The sequence below is a fragment of the Homo sapiens genome, chromosome 4, assembly GCF_000001405.40.
Source record: "Homo sapiens chromosome 4, GRCh38.p14 Primary Assembly".
NCBI lineage: Eukaryota > Metazoa > Chordata > Mammalia > Primates > Hominidae > Homo > Homo sapiens.
In genome coordinates this window covers 9,033,182-9,049,344 of record NC_000004.12, presented here as the reverse complement: position 1 = coordinate 9,049,344, position 16,163 = coordinate 9,033,182, and the positions used below count along the sequence as shown (strand labels likewise).

Sequence of the window (16,163 nt, the reverse complement as noted above, 5' to 3'; positions counted from 1 at the left end):
CCTCTTTATGGAAAAAGTTTGCCATTCCCTAGTCTAAGGTTTAGATTCTGAGCTTATCATTTTAGCCTACCCCCACTTACCAGTGACTGGTTCAAAACAAGTCTGTGATTCCATTCTGACTGTTCTACTGAGGGAATTCCCCCTTCTTCTCATGCAGAGTTGATGAGGGTAAGTTGTATTAATAGGACATATGCTTAGGTTTTCTGAAAAATACTTTTATCTAGAAATGCATAGGAATATGCTGGTGCCTGAATGTACCATCTGGGGGCCTGGAGATTGACTCACCTGCCTCCAGAGCTAGTGCTCACACTTACTACTGAGAGACCTGAGGAAACGCCTGCCTACCCACCACCAGAACCTGCATACGTCACCTGGAGAACTAGAGATCAGACTGCCACACACACCACCCAGGAGCCCAGAGGTGCACCTGCCCACTTGGCCCAGTGCTGCCACTGCCAGCAAGCAAAGAAGCCACCTGGGAGCCCAGGGATTGGCCCACGCAAACAGGCTATCATCAGTGTCCACAAACACTGCCCATGGTCCCTAGTATTGACACACCTGGTCCACCAGCACTACCACTGATGCTGAAGGACAAGACTTCCTGGCATCCCCATCCTCAGCAAAGCCTCACCACAGCCTCCAATAACAACTACAGTCTGGCCAAGTGTGGTGGCTCACGCCTGTAATCCCAGCACTTTGAGAGGCCGAGGCGGGTAGATCACGAGGTCAGAAGTTCGAGAGCAGCCTGGTCAACATGGTGAAACCCCGTCCCTACTAAAAATACAAAAATTAGCTGCGCATTGTAGCACGTGCCTATAGTCCCAGCTACTCAGGAGGCTGAGGCAGGAGAATTGCTTGAACCTGGGAGGCAGAAGTTGCAGTGAGCTGAGATTGTGCCACTGCACTCCAGCCTGGTGACAGAGCTAGACTCCATCTCAACAACCACAAAAAACATACTGCAGTCTAAGCCACGGAATGACTCACAGGCACCACTCATGCCAATTACAGCTGAAGGAATCATATGCAGACTATACCACTGTACCCACCCAGAATCAAAGCCAAAGTGAGATATCCAATGAACACTGTAGATACAGCTATAAGAAAAGGTCTTTCCCATATAAAAGCCAATCCATAAAATTGGAAGAAATGACTGTTATCTCAGAGGCACAGATAGTCACATAAGGATGCAAGAAATATGAAAAAGGAAACATAACATCTCCAAAGAAGCACAATAATTCTCCAGCAACAGATCCAATGAAAAGAAAATCTATGAAATGCCTGAAAAAAATTCAGAATAATGTTATTAAAGAAACTCAGGGAGATACAAGAGAACACAGATAATGAATACAAAAAAAAAAAAACAGGAAAACAATTCATGATCTGAATGACAAATTCAACAGAGATAGACAGCATAACAAAGAACCAAACACAAATCCTGGAAGACAATAAATCATTGAAATAAATACAAAAGATAATTGACAGTTTTAACAATAGACTAGATCAAGCAAAACAAAGAATTTCTGAACCTGAAGGCTAGTCTTTTAAAATAATCCAGTCAGACAAAAAGAAAGAAAAAACAATGAAGCAAGGCTACATGATATATGGGACACATATGTGACCAAAAACTGAAATTCTGGGAGTTCTGGATGGAGATGAGATGGGTAAAGGCATAAAAAACCTATTTAATGAAATAATAACTGAAAACTTCCTGAATGCTTCCAAATGCAGGAAGCTCAAAGATTACCAAATAAATACAACTCAAAAAGGTCTTCTCCAAGGCACATTATGGTAAAATTGTCAAAAGACAAAGAGAAAATGCTAAAAACAGCAAGAGAAAGACATCAAGTCACTTATAAGAGAATCTCCATCAGGCTAACGGGATTTCTCAGCAGAAACCTTACAGGCTAGGAGAAAAGGGGATGTATACTACAAGTAAAAAATAAAAATAAAAAAAGTAAGCCAAAAATACTATACCCAGCAAAGCTATCCTTCACAAATGAAGGAGGCTGGCACAGTGGCTCACATCTGCAGTTCCAGAGACTCAGAAGGCTGAGGCAGGAGAACCATTTGATCCCAGGAGTTCAAGGCTGCAGTGAGCTATGATCATGCCACTGTACTCCAGCCTGGGTGACAGAGTGAGACTCCATTGCTAAAAAAAATAGTAATAATAAAAGAGAAAAAAGGATTTCCCAGATAAGCAAAAGACTGTTTGTTTGTGTCTTGTTTGTTGTGGTCTTACAAGAAATGTTTAAGGGAGTCCTACATTGGGAAGCAAAAGAACAATATCTACCATCATGAAAATACATGAAAGTATAAAACTCACTGGTAGTTCAGACACACAAAGAAGAAAAGATTCAAACACCACCACTAAAGAAAACCACCAAACTGCAACCATAAATAATGAGAGAAAAAAGGAACAAAGGTGTATTAGTCTGTTTTCACACTGCTGATAAAGACATACGTGACTGAGACTGGGCATTTTACAAAAGAAAGAGTTTTAATGGACTTACTCTTCCACATAGTTGAGGAAGCCTAAGAATCATGTTGGAAGGCAAGAAGAAGCAAGTCATGTCTCACATGGATGGCAGCAATCAAAGATAGAGCTTCTGCAGAGAAACTACCCTTTTCAAAACCATCAGACCTTGTGAGACGTATTCACTATCATGAGAACAGCATGGGAAAGACCTGCCCCCATGACTCAATTACTTCCCACCAGGTCCCTCCCACAACATGTGGGAATTCAAGATGAGACTTGGGTGGGGACACAACCAAACCATATCATTCTGCCCCTGGCCCTTCCCAAATCTCATATCCTCAGATTTCAAAACCAATCATGCCTTCCCAACAGTCCCCCAAAGTCTTAACTAAGTTCAGCATTAACTCAAAAGTCCACAGTCCAAAGTCTCATGTGAGACAAGGCAAATCCCTTCTGCATATGAGCATGTAAAATCAAAAATAAGTTAGTTACTTCCTAGATACAATGGGGGTATAGGCATTGGGTAAACACAGTCATTCCAAATGGCAGAAAATTGCCAAAACAAAGGGGCTACAGGACCCATGCAAGCCCAAAATCCAGTGAGGCAGTCAAATCTCAAAGCTCCAAAATGATCTCCTTTGACTCCATGTCTCACATACAGGTCATGCTGATGTAAGAGGTGGGCTCCCATGGCCTTGGGAGAAAAAAGGCCACAGCTCCACTCCTGTGGCTTTGTATGGTTTAAACCCCCTCCTGGCTCCTCTCACGGGTTGGCATTGAGTGTCTGCAGCTTTTCCAGTCACACAGTGCAAGCTGTCAGTGAATCCACCATTCTGGGGTCTGGAGGATGGTGGCCCTCTTCTCACAGCTCCACTAGGTGGCGCTGCAGTAAGGACTCTATGTGGGGGCTCCGAACCCACATTTCCCTTCTGCAGTGCCCTAGTAGAGGTTCTCCATGAGTGCCCTGCCCCTGCAGCAAACTCCTGACTGGATATCTAGGCATTTCCATACACCTTCTGAAATCTAGGCAGCAGTTCCCAAACCTCAATTTTTGACTTCTGTGCACCCACAGGCTCAACACTATGTGGAAGCTGCTAAGGCTTGGGGCTTGCACCCTCTGAAGCAACAGCCCACGTTGTACCTTGGCTCCTTTCAGCTGCAGCTGGAGTGGCTAGGACTCAGGCACCCTAGGCTGCTCACAACAGGGGTCCCTGGGTCCAGCCCAAAAAAACATCTTTTCTTCCTAGGCCTCTGGACGTTTGATAGGAGAAGCTGCCAAGAAGACCTGTGACATGCCCTGGAGACATTCTCCCCATTGTCTTGGGGATTCACATTTGACTCCTTGTTACTTAAACAAACTTCTGCAGCCAGATCGAATTTTCCTTGAGAAAATGGGATTTTCTTTTCTATTGCATTGTCAGGCTGCAGATTTTCCAAACTTTCATGCTCTGCTTCCCTTATAAAACTGAAGGCCTTTAACAGCACCCAAGTCATCTCTTGAATGCTTTGCTGCTTGAAATTTCTTCTATCAGATACCCTAAATCTCAAGTTCAAATACCCTATCAGATACCCTAAATCTCTCAAGTTCAAAATTCCACAAATCTCTACAGCAGGGGCAAAATGCCACCAGTCTCTTTGCTAAAACATAACAGGAGTCACCATTGTGCCAGTTCCTAACAAGTTCCTCATTTCCATCTGAGACAACCTCATCCTAGACTTTATTGTCCATATAACCATCAGCATTTTGGGCAAGTCTCTAGGAAACCTCTTCCAAATTTTCCCACATTTTCCTGTCTCCTTCTGAGCCCTCCAAACTGTTCCAACCTCTGCCTGTTTCCCAGTTCCAAAGTCACTTCCACATATTCAGGTATCTTTTAGCAACACCCCACTTCTGGTACTAATTTACTGTATTAGTCCATTTTCACACAGCTGATAAAGACACATTCAAGACTGGGAAATTTACAAAAGAAAGAGATTTAATGGACTTACAGTTCTACATTGCTGGGGAGGCTTCAAAATCATTGCAGAAGTCAAGGAGAGGCAAGTCACATCTTACAGGGATGGCAGCAGGCAAAGAGAGAGCTTGAGCAGGGAAACTCCACCTTTTAAAACCATCAGATCTCATGAGACTTATTCACTATTAAAAGAATAGCATGGGAAATACCTGCCTCCATGATTCAACTACTTCCCACTGGGTCCCTCCCACAACACATGGGAATTCAAGATGAGATCTGAGTGGGGACACAGCCAAACCATACCAAAAGGATATACAAAATAACCAGAAAACAATGAACAAAATGACTGGAATAAGTCCTCACCTATCAATAATAACTTCGAATATTGGTTAAATTACCTACCTAAAGATAGAGACAGGCTTAATGGATAAAAAATGACCCAACAACGTCTACAAGAAACTCACTTCACTTGTAAAGACACACACAGACTGAAAGTGAAGGGATGGAAAAAGATATACCACAGAAACAGAAATCAAAAATAATCAGGAGTAGCTAAACTTACATCAGATAAAACAGACTTTAAGCCAAAAACTGTAAAAAGGACAAAGAAGGTCATTTTATGGTAATAAAGGGATCAATTCAGCAACAAAGTATAACAATTCCCAATATGCATGCAACCAACACAAGCGCATCCAGAGACATATAGCAAATATTATTAAATCTACATGGAGAGAGAGAGTCCAATACAATGATAGTTGAGAACTTCAATATCCTACTGTCAGCATTGGACAGTTCATCTAGACATAAAATCAACAAAGAAACATTAGATTTAAGCTGCACTTTAGACCAAATGGACCTAACAGATATTTTCAGAATATTTCATCCAGCAGCAGCAGAATACACAATCATCTCATCAACACATGGAACATTCTCCAGGATAGACCATATGTTAAGACACAGAACAAGGCTCAATAAAATTTTAAAAATTAAAATCATATCAAGTATCTTCTCAGACCACAATGGAATAAAACTTGAAATCAATAAGAAGAAGAAATTTGGAAACTGTACAAATACATGGACATTAAACATGCTATTGAATAATCATTGGGTCAATGAAGAAATTAAGATGGACATCAAAAATTTTTTTTAAACAGAAAATGGAAACACATCATGCAAAACCTATGGGATACAGCAAAAGCAGTACTAGGAGGAAAGTTTATAGCAATAAATGCCTACACCAAAAAAGTAGAAAGATTTTAAATAAACAACCTAATGATGCACCTCAAGGAATTCAAAAAGCAAGAACAAATCAAACACACAATTAGTAGAAAGAAAAAATATAAATAAAATAGCAGAACCAAATGCAACAGAGACAAAAAAGAAATGCAAAGAATCAACAAGATAAAAGTTGGTTTTTTGAAAAGTTAAAAAAATTGATAAACCACTAGTGAGGCTAACCAAAAAAAAAAAAAAAAAAAAAAAAAAGAGACCCAAATAAATACAATCAGAAATGAAAAAGGAGACTTTACAACTGTTACCAAAGAAATAAAAAGGATCATTAGAGGCTACTATGAACAACCATATGCTAACAAATTGGAAAACCTAGAGGAAAGGGATAAATTCCCAGACATACACAGCCTACCAAGATTCAACTAGGAAGAAAAAGAAAACCTGAACTGACCCAAAATGAATAGCAGATTTGAATCAGTAACAAAAAGTCTCCCAAAAGAGAAAAGCCCTAGACTGGGCTTTTATGTTGATTTCTACCCAATTTGTAAAGAAAAACAAACACCAATTCTTCTCAAACTATTCCCAAAAATTGAAGAGGAAGGAATTCTTCCTAACTCATTGTATAAGGCCAGCATTACCCTGATATCCAATCAAGACAAGGACACAACAAAAGCAGAAAACTACAGGCCAATATTCCTAATGAACATAGATGGTAAAATTCTCAGCATAATACTACCAAGCCAAATCTAATGATGAATGAAAAAGATAATATACCATGATCAAGTGGGATTTATCCCAGGAATGCAAAGATGGCTCAACATACACAAATCAATACATGTGATACATCACATCAACAAGATGAAAGGCACAAGCTATCTGATCATCTCAGCAGATGCAGAAAAATCACTCAGTAAAACTTACCATTCCTTCATGATGAAAACTCTCAACAAATTATGCATACGAGGAACACTTCAACCTAAGAAAAGGCATATATGACAAATCTACAGTTAACATCCTACTCACTGGGAAATATTGAAAAGCCTTTCCTCTAAGAACTGGAACAAGAGAAGGATGCCCACTTTCACCACTCTTATTCAACACAGTATGGGACATCCAAGCCAGAGTGATCAGACAAGATAAAGAAATAAAAGGCATCCAAATGGACAAAAGGAAGTCAAATTGTCTCACTTTGCAAATGACATAATCTTATACCTGTAAACAGAAAAACCTAAAGACTCTACCAAAAAACTCTTAAAATAAATTAGGCTGGGCATGGTAGCTCATGCCTGTAATCCCAGCACTTTGGGAGGACAAGGTGGATGGATCAGCTGAGGTTGGGAGTTTGAGTCCAGCCTGGCCAACATGGTGAAACCCTGTCTCTACCAAAAATACAATTAGCCAGGCATGGTGGTAGGTGCCTGTAATCCCAGCTACTTGGGAGGCTGATGCAGGAGAATCGCTTGAACCCGAGAGGTGGAGGTTGCAGTAAGCCAAGATTGCACCACTGCACTCCAGCCTGGAAAACAGAGTGAGACTCTCTCAAAAAATAAAAAATAAAAAACATTTTTAAAAACGGATGTATAATTCAGTAAAGCTTCAGGACACAAAATCAACATACAAAAATCAGTAATGTTTCTATATACCAGTAACAAACTAGCTAAAATAGAAATCAAGGAAGAAATTCTATTTACAATAGCCACAAAAATAAAATACCTAGGAATAAACTTAACCAAGGATGAGGAAAAAAAAAAAAAAAAAAAAAAACCTCTACAATGAAAACCACAAAACACTGATAAAATAAATTGAGAAGGACACAAGCAAATGGAAAGGCATCCTATGCTCGTGGGTTGGAATAACTAATACTGTTAAAATGACCATACTACCCGAAGCAATCTAGAGATTCACTATAATCCCTATCAATTATATTCTTCACAGAAACAGGAAAAAAAACCTGAAATTCATATGGAACCACAGAAGACCCCAAATAGCCAGAGCAATACTGAGCAAAAAGAACAAAGCTAGAAGCCTCACACTACCTGATTTAAAAATATACTGCAAAGAGGCTGGGCGAGGTGGCTCAAGCCTATATCCCAGCACTTTGGGAGGCCAAGGCAGGTGGATCACAAGGTCAGGAGATCGAGATCATCCTGGCTAACACGGTGAAACCCCGTCTCTACTAAAAAAAAAAAAAAAAAATAGCCAGGCGTGGTGGTGGGCATCTGTAGTCCCAGCAGCTACTCGGGAGGCTGAGGCAGGAGAATGGCATGAACCCGGGAGGAAGAGCTTGCAGTGAGCAGAGATCACGCCACTGCACTCCAGCCTCAGCAACAGAGCAAGACTCCATCTCAAAAAGAAAAAAAAAACATATATATGTATATATATGTGTATATATATGTATACATATACGTATATATGTATATATGTGTATATATATGTATACATATACGTATATATGTATATATATGTGTATATATATGTATACATATACGTATATATGTATATACGTATATATACACGTATATATATACGTATGTATGTATATATACACGTATATATATACGTATATATGTATATATACACGTATATATATACGTATATATGTATATATACACGTATATATGTATATATACACGTATATATGTATACGTATATATGTATATATACACGTATATATGTATATATGTATATATACACGTATATATGTATATATACACGTATATATGTATATATGTATATATACACGTATATATGTATATATGTATATATGTATATATGCACGTATATATGTATATATGCACGTATATATGTATATATGCACGTATATATGTATATATGTATATATATGTATATATACACGTATATATACGTATATATGCACGTATATATACGTATATACACGTGTATATACGTATATATACGTATATACACGTGTATATACGTGTATATACGTATATATACGTGTATATACGTGTATACACGTGTATATACGTATATATACACGTATATACGTATATATACGTGTATATATATGTATATATGTATATCTGTGTGTGTGTATGTATATACATATATATGTATATACATATATACGTATATATGTATACTGCAAAGCTACAGTAACCAAAACAGCGTGTATTGGTATTAAAACAGACACAAAAACAAAGGAAAAAGACTAAAGAATGCAGAAATGAATCCACATATTTACAGCTAACTGATTTTCAAGAAAGCTGTCAAGAACATATATTGAATAAAGGACACCTTCTTCATTAAATGGTGCCAGGAAAACTAGATATCCAAACACAGAAGAATAAAACTAGACCCATATCTCTCATCACTTACAAAAATAAACTCAAAATCAATTAAAGACTTAAATGTAACAGCCACAACTATGAAACTACTAGAAGTAAACACAGGAGAAACGCTTGAGAACAAAGATTGTATGGCTAACACTTAAAAAGTACAAGCAACAAAAACAGACAAATGGGATTATATTAAACTAAATACCTTCCGCATATCAACGAAAACAATCAACAGAGTGAAAAGACAACACCCCTCCCTTACACCATACACAAAAATTAACTCAAGATGGCCTACAGACTTAAATGTAAAACCCATAACTATAAAAACGCTGAAGACAACCTAGGCAATACCATCCGGTACATAGTGATGGGCAAAGAGTTCATGGTGAAGATGCCAAACGCAATTGCCACAAAAGCAAAAATTGACAAATGGGATCTAATTACATGAAAGAGCTTCTGCACAGCTAAAGAAACTATCAAAAAATAAACAGACATTTCTCAAAAGAAAATATACAAATCACCAAGTTTATGAAAAAATATTCAACATCACTAATCATCACGGAAATGCAAATCAAAACCACAATGAGATATCATCTCACACTTGTTAGAATGGGTATTAAAAAGACAAAGCACAACAAACGCTGTCAAGCATGTGAAGAAAATTATTGTATATTGTTGGTGGGAATGTAAATTAGTACAGCCATTATGAAAAAAAGTGCAGAGATTTCTCAAAAAACTAAGAACAGATCTACCATATGATCCAGCAATCCCACTCCTGTGTATATATCCAAAAAAAGATAACAGCGTATCAACGGGATATCTGTACCCCCATATTTACTGCAGCACTATTTACAATAGCCAAGATATGGAATCAATCTAAGTGTCAATCAATGGATGAATGGATAAAGAAAATGGGAATATACGCACAATAGAATAGTATTCAGCCATAAAAAAGAATGAAATCCTGTCATTTTCAGCTAAATGGATGGAACTAAAGGTCATAATGTCAGGTGAACTAGGCCATGCACAGAAAGAAAACTATTGCATGTTCTCACTTATATGAGCAGCTTATGCTCCTGGAAATCAAAGCGGGGCCATATTTCAGTTCAGTAGGGTCAGGGATAGAGACCACAGTTATGGACTTGTGTGCCCTGGAGCTATATAAAATTGATATCATGGAAATAAAGAGTAGAATGATAGTTACCAGAGGCTGGGAATAGGAGGGGTTTGAAAAGAGGTTGATTAATGGGTATAAAAATATATAACAGAAGGAATGAGATCTAGTGTTTATTATCACAGAAAGTGACTACAACAATTTATTGTATATTTCTTTTTTTTAATTTCAATAGTTTTTAGGGAACAGGTGGTATTTTGTTACATGGATAAGTTCCTTAGTGGTGATCTCTGAAATTTTGGCATACCCATCAGCAAAGCAGTTTACCCAATGTATAGTCTTTTATCTCTCACCCCCTTCCACCTTCCCCCTGAGCCCCCAAAGTCCACTGTTTCATTCTTGTGCCTTCGCATCATCATAGCTTAGCTCCCACTTAGGAGTGAGAACACGCAATGTTTGGTTTTCCATTCCTGAGTTACTTCATTTAGAATAATGGTCTCCAACTCCATCCAGGTTGCTATGAATGCTATTATTTTATTCCTTTTTAAAGCTAAGTAGTATTCTATGGTATATATATATATAACACATTTTCTTTATCCATTAATTGATTGATGGGCATTTGGGCTGGACCTATAGTTTTGCAACTGTGAATTCTGCTGCTGTAATCATGTGTGCAAAAGTATCTTTTTCATATAATGATTTCTTTTCCTCTGGGTAGATACCTAACAGTGGGATTGCTGGATCAAACGGTAGATGTACTTCTAGTTCTTTAAGGAATCTCCATACTGCTTTCCATAGTGGTGGTACTAGCTTACATTCCCACCATCAGTGTAAAAGCGTTGTCTTTCACCACATCCATGCCAACATTAATTTTTGTTTTTTTGTTTTGTTTTGTTTTGTTTTGTTTTTTTGAGATGGAGTCTCACTCTGTCGCCCAGGCTGGAGTACAGTGGTGCCATATCAGCTCACTGCAACCTCTGCCTCCCAGGTTCAAGCAATTCTCCTGCCTCAGCCTCCTGAGTAGCTGGGATTACAGGCAACTGCCACCATGCCCGGCTAATTTTTGTATTTTCAGTAGAGACTGGGTTTCACCATGTTGGTCACCTGGTCTCAAACTCCTGACCTCATGATCCGCCCACCTTGGCCTCCCAAAGTGCTAGGATTACAGGCGTGAGCCACCGCGCCTGGCCCTCTTTTTGTTTATTTTACAAGTGGTATTGCATTGTGGTTTTGATTTGCATTGCCCTGGTAATTAGTGATGTTGAGTAATTTTTCATATGTTTCTTGGCCATTTGTATATCTTCTTTTGAGAATTGTCTATTCATGTCCTTGGCACACTTTTTGATGAGATTATTTTTTTCTTGCTGATTAGAGTTCCCTGTAGATTCTGGACATTAGTCCTTTGTCAGATGCAGTTTGTGAAAATTTTCTCCCACTCTGTGGGTGATCTGTTTACTCTGCTGATTATTCCCTATGCTGTGCAGGAGGCCTTTAGTTTAATTAAGTCCCATCTATTTATCTTTGTTTCTGTTGCATTTGCTTTTGGGTTCTTGGTCATAAACTCTTTGCCTAAGCCAATGTGTAGAAGCATTTTCGAATGTTATCTTCTAGAATTTTTATGGTTTCAGACCTTAGATTTAAGTCTTTGATCCATCTTGTGTTGATTTTTGTATAAGGTGAGAGATAAGGATACAGTTTTATTCTTCTACATGTGGCTTGCCAATTATCCCAGCACTATTTGTTGTATACGGTGTACTTTTCTTACTTTGTTTTTGTTTACTTTGTCGAAGATCAGTTGGCTGTTAAGTATTTGGCTTTATTTCTAGCTTCTCTACTCTGTCCCATTGGTCATGTGACTATTTTTATACCAGCACCGTGCTGTTTTGGTGACTATAGCCTTGTAATATAGTTTGAAGTTGGATAATGTGATGCCTCTAGATTGGTTCTTTTTGCTTAGTTTTGCTTTGGCTTTGCAGACTCTTTTTTAGTTCCAAATGAATTTTGGCATTTTTTTTCTAATTCTATAAAGAATGATGATGGTACATTGATAGGAATTGCATTGAATTTGTAGACTGCTTTTGGCAGTATGGTCATTTTCACAATATTGAGTCTACCCATCCATGAGCATGGAATGTGTTTCCTTTTGTTTTTGTCATCTATGATTTCTTTCAACAGTGTTTTGTAGTTTTCCTTGTAGGGGTCTTTCACCTCCTTGGTTAGTTACATTCGTAAGTATTTTATTTTTACAGCTATCATAAAAGGGTTTGATTTGATTCTCAGCCTGGTAGATGTTGGTGTATAGCACCGCTACTGATATGTGTACATAGATTTTGTATCCTGATAAATAGATTTTTTGTGTATTTCTAAATAGCAATAAGATTTGAAATATTCCCAACACAAAGAAATGATCAATGTTTGAGGTGATTAATATCCTAAAGACCCTGATTTGATCATTACACATTGCATGCATGTACCAGAATCTCACATGGACCCCATAAATTTGTACAATTATTCTCTATCAAAAACATTTTTTTAAGAAACATGCAGGAATACACTGTACCTCTTCCTTGCTGTGTCTGGATATTGTCACATGAGGACTTGACATGCCGATTGTGGCAGTCTCTGTGACCAAGAGCAGAAGACAATAGCAGCATAGAAACCTCAAATGAAAAACCTAACATTTCAAGCTACTAATTTAGCCAACCTTGGCATCAGCTATCTCTGGTCTTAGTATATGAGGTGATAAGCCCCCACTGTTCAAGTTGGATGGCCATCAATTGCTGCAGAATAGAAGTTAATGAGGCTTCCTCCTCCTGGATCCCCTACTAGACCTTGACATGCCCATTCAGTCACAGGCAGAAAGGGAAGCAGAGGGTAAGGAGACCTGGCTGACTGTGTCAGACGCAGATCTTACCTGTCCTGCTTAGAACACTCAAAGCTCAATTGCTTAAACAAAAAAAGGAAAAAGACAATAAGGAGTATAGCACTCCCCAGATGCAACTTAATCTAACACTCTATACTTTAGATTTTCTAGACATACATAGAAATCAGACCACTACTTCTGCAGAACATTTTACTGGTAAAAAGAACAGCCCACATGAGGGAAAACTGATTTGGTGGAAAGACAACAAAAACAAAACATGGGAAATAGGTAAAGTGATAACATGGGGGAGAGGTTTTGCTTGTGTTTCACCAGGAGAAAATCAGCTTCCTGTTTGGATACCCACTAGACATTTGAAATTCTACAATGAACTCATCAGGGATGCAAATGAAAGTGCCTCTGCAGAGACAGAAAACCCGCAATCGAGCATCATCGACTCGCAGGGTGAACAAAATGGTGATATCAGAAGAACAGATGAAGTTACAATCCACCAAGGAAACTGCACATGTGGAGAGTCAGGGAGAGGAAGAGAAAGAAAAAGAGACAGAGATCAGAGAGAGACACAGAAAGTGAGACTGGGGAGAGAGATAGTATAAAATAGAGAGAGAGAGAGAGACCGTAAGAGAAGGGAGACAAAGAGATAAAAGGTGCGAGTGAGCAGGTGAGGAGAAAGACTGAAAACGATGAGAAACAGCAACTAAGACACAAAGGAGGTGGGAGACTGCCCGGGTGCCACAGCACCCACACCGTCCTCTTGCCCCCGTCACTTGGGTTAAAACCACCGGAAATTCCACTATTGCAAATTTTGTATTAATCCTTGTATATCTGTCCTTTCTATTTTTAGTCTACAGTTGTATCCAGCAGCTCCAGAGAGACAGCGACCAGCAAGAAGGGGCCATGATGATGGTGGTGGTTTTTTCAAAACGAAAAGGGGGATATGTAGGGAAAAGAAAGAGAGATCAGACTCTTACAGACTCTTACTGTGTCTACATAGAAAGGGAAGACATAAGAGACTCCATTTGGAAAAAGACCTGTACTTTAAACAATTGCTTTGCTGAGATGTTGTTAATCTGTAGCTTTGCCCCAGCCACTTTGCCCCAACCACTTTGACCCAGTCTGGAGCTCACAAAAACATGTGTTGTATGAAATCAAGGTTTAAGGCATGTAGGGCTGTGCAGGATGTGCCTTGTTAACCAAATGTTTGCAAGCAGTATACTTGGTAAAAGTCATCACCATTCTCTTGTCTCAATAAACCAGGGGCACAATGCACTGTGGAAAGCCGCAGGGACCTCTGCCCTTGAAAGCTGGGTATTATTCAAAGTTTCCCCCCATGTGATAGTCTGAAATATGGCCTCGTGGGATGAGAAAGGCCTGACGGTCCCCTAGCCCGACACCCATAAAAGGTCTGTGCTGAGGTGGATTAGTCAAAGAGGAAAGACTCTTGCATTTGAGATAGAGGAAGGCCACTGTCTCCTGCCTGCCCCTGGGAACTGAATGTCTCGGTATAAAACACGATTGTACATTTGTTCAATTCTGAGATGGGAGAAAAACCGCCCTATGGTGGGAGGTGAGACATGTTTACAGCAATACTGCCTTGATATTCTTTACTCCACTGAGATGTTTGGGTGGAGAGAAACATAAATCTGGCTTACATGCACGTTCAGTCATAGTACCTTCCCTTGAACTTCATTATGACATAGATTCTATTGCTCACATGTTTGTTGCTGACCTTCTTATTATCACCCTGCCCTCCTACTACATTCCTTTTTGCTGAAATAATAAAGATAGTATTCAATAAAAACTGAGGGAACTCAGAGACCGGTGCCAGTGCAGGTCCTTGGTATGCTAAGCGCCGGTACCCTGGGCCCACTGTTGTTTCTCTATACTTTGTTTCTGTGTCTGATTTCTTTTCTGTCTCTCATCCCACCCAACAAGAAATACCCACAGGTGTGGAGGGGCAGGCCACCCCTTCAGTATGAGATTACAGGCATGAATAACCCCACCTGGCCACCTAACTCACACTTGAGAGGCCAGAAGTGATGCTGGAACTTTCTTCCTCTGTGGGTTAAAAAGGGAAAATTAGGGAGAACACAAGGCATGAGAGATGCAGCGATGGATATGTCTATATGGAGCTTCTGTCTGCATTCAGTAGAAAATGCATTTCTAGGCACCAGGTTTAAGAGCGAAAACCTGGAGTCTTGTCTGTTAGCATTCTCCTTCCCCACAAACCAGGGAGGGTATACATTTGCTCCAGCACACCCGGATGTAGGAAATGTCACATTCCTATTTCTGTAACTTCAGTTAAATCTGCTCTGAGTCCCTGGATGCCTGGTAGGTGGAGAATTCAATCTTGTCGTTACAAGCATTTCTTTCCCTTCTCCATGGGCTTATGTAAGAATTCTGGGCTTACACACTGTTGGAAAGCCAGGTAAGATCTACATCCTCCGAACTCTCCATTCTTCCAGCTGATCATGATCCATCAACCGTCTTTGGGCCATCTGCTATAGCAAGACCCTCCTCACAGCATCATTCCACTGACCCACAGGCTCAGCCCCAGGGACCCTCACTAGAACAGGTCTCCACTATGCATAGGAACTCACAAAAACCTTCTGTTCATCTTGGCTTCCTCTGATATCCAGCCACTCCCCTACTTCTCATCTTAAACACAGATGGCAGCTCCTTCCCATCATTCCAAACCTGGAGGATTGTCCAGCCAAATTCTCTTCAGACACCAAAGCTTCACCCGCTCTCTTCAGGGAGGTGATGCAAAGGAATCTGAGATCTTTGGAAGCCCAATTCTGGCCTCTCTTTGGGGTGGGCTGAGAGTGGGAACCAGACTCTCTTTTCCAAATGCCATGTTTATCTTGTTCATCATTATATTATCTCCAATGCCTGGCACATAGTAGGCACTACAGACTGACACACAGTAGGTGCTATTAGTGTCTGTATAATGGGACTCTTGAGGTTGAAGCTATTAGCAGAAACCTGCCATGCAAAAGGATGGAAAACCAACAACCAAAAAAAAAAAAATGAAAACAATCATGGCTTTGAGCTCTAAACACACTAGGCACCAGCCCAAGTTTGGGCAATTTTAATACAACAGCCATTTTGCCTCCAAACAAACTGGCACTGGAAACCTCCCTCTGCCTCTTAAAGAGAACCAGTTTCCCTTTCCCTAAGTGGGGAGCATTTCTCCCCGGTGGCAGTA

The 16,163-nt window shown here is 39.6% G+C and overlaps 1 long non-coding RNA gene across 2 annotated transcripts in view; it reads left to right on the top strand.

The window, feature by feature from the left end:
* Positions 1-14,771, top strand: part of LOC105369250 (uncharacterized) — a 117,941-nt gene extending 103,170 nt beyond the window's left edge. Inside the window, exon 4 of one of the 2 annotated variants that reach the window (XR_001741579.3) lies at positions 13,800-14,771. This is a non-coding gene — a long non-coding RNA (uncharacterized LOC105369250). Of the gene's footprint in view, positions 1-13,270 lie in introns of both variants that reach the window. The other variant, XR_001741578.3, reaches the window with a different exon arrangement.
* Positions 14,772-16,163: the final 1,392 nt, after the last annotated feature.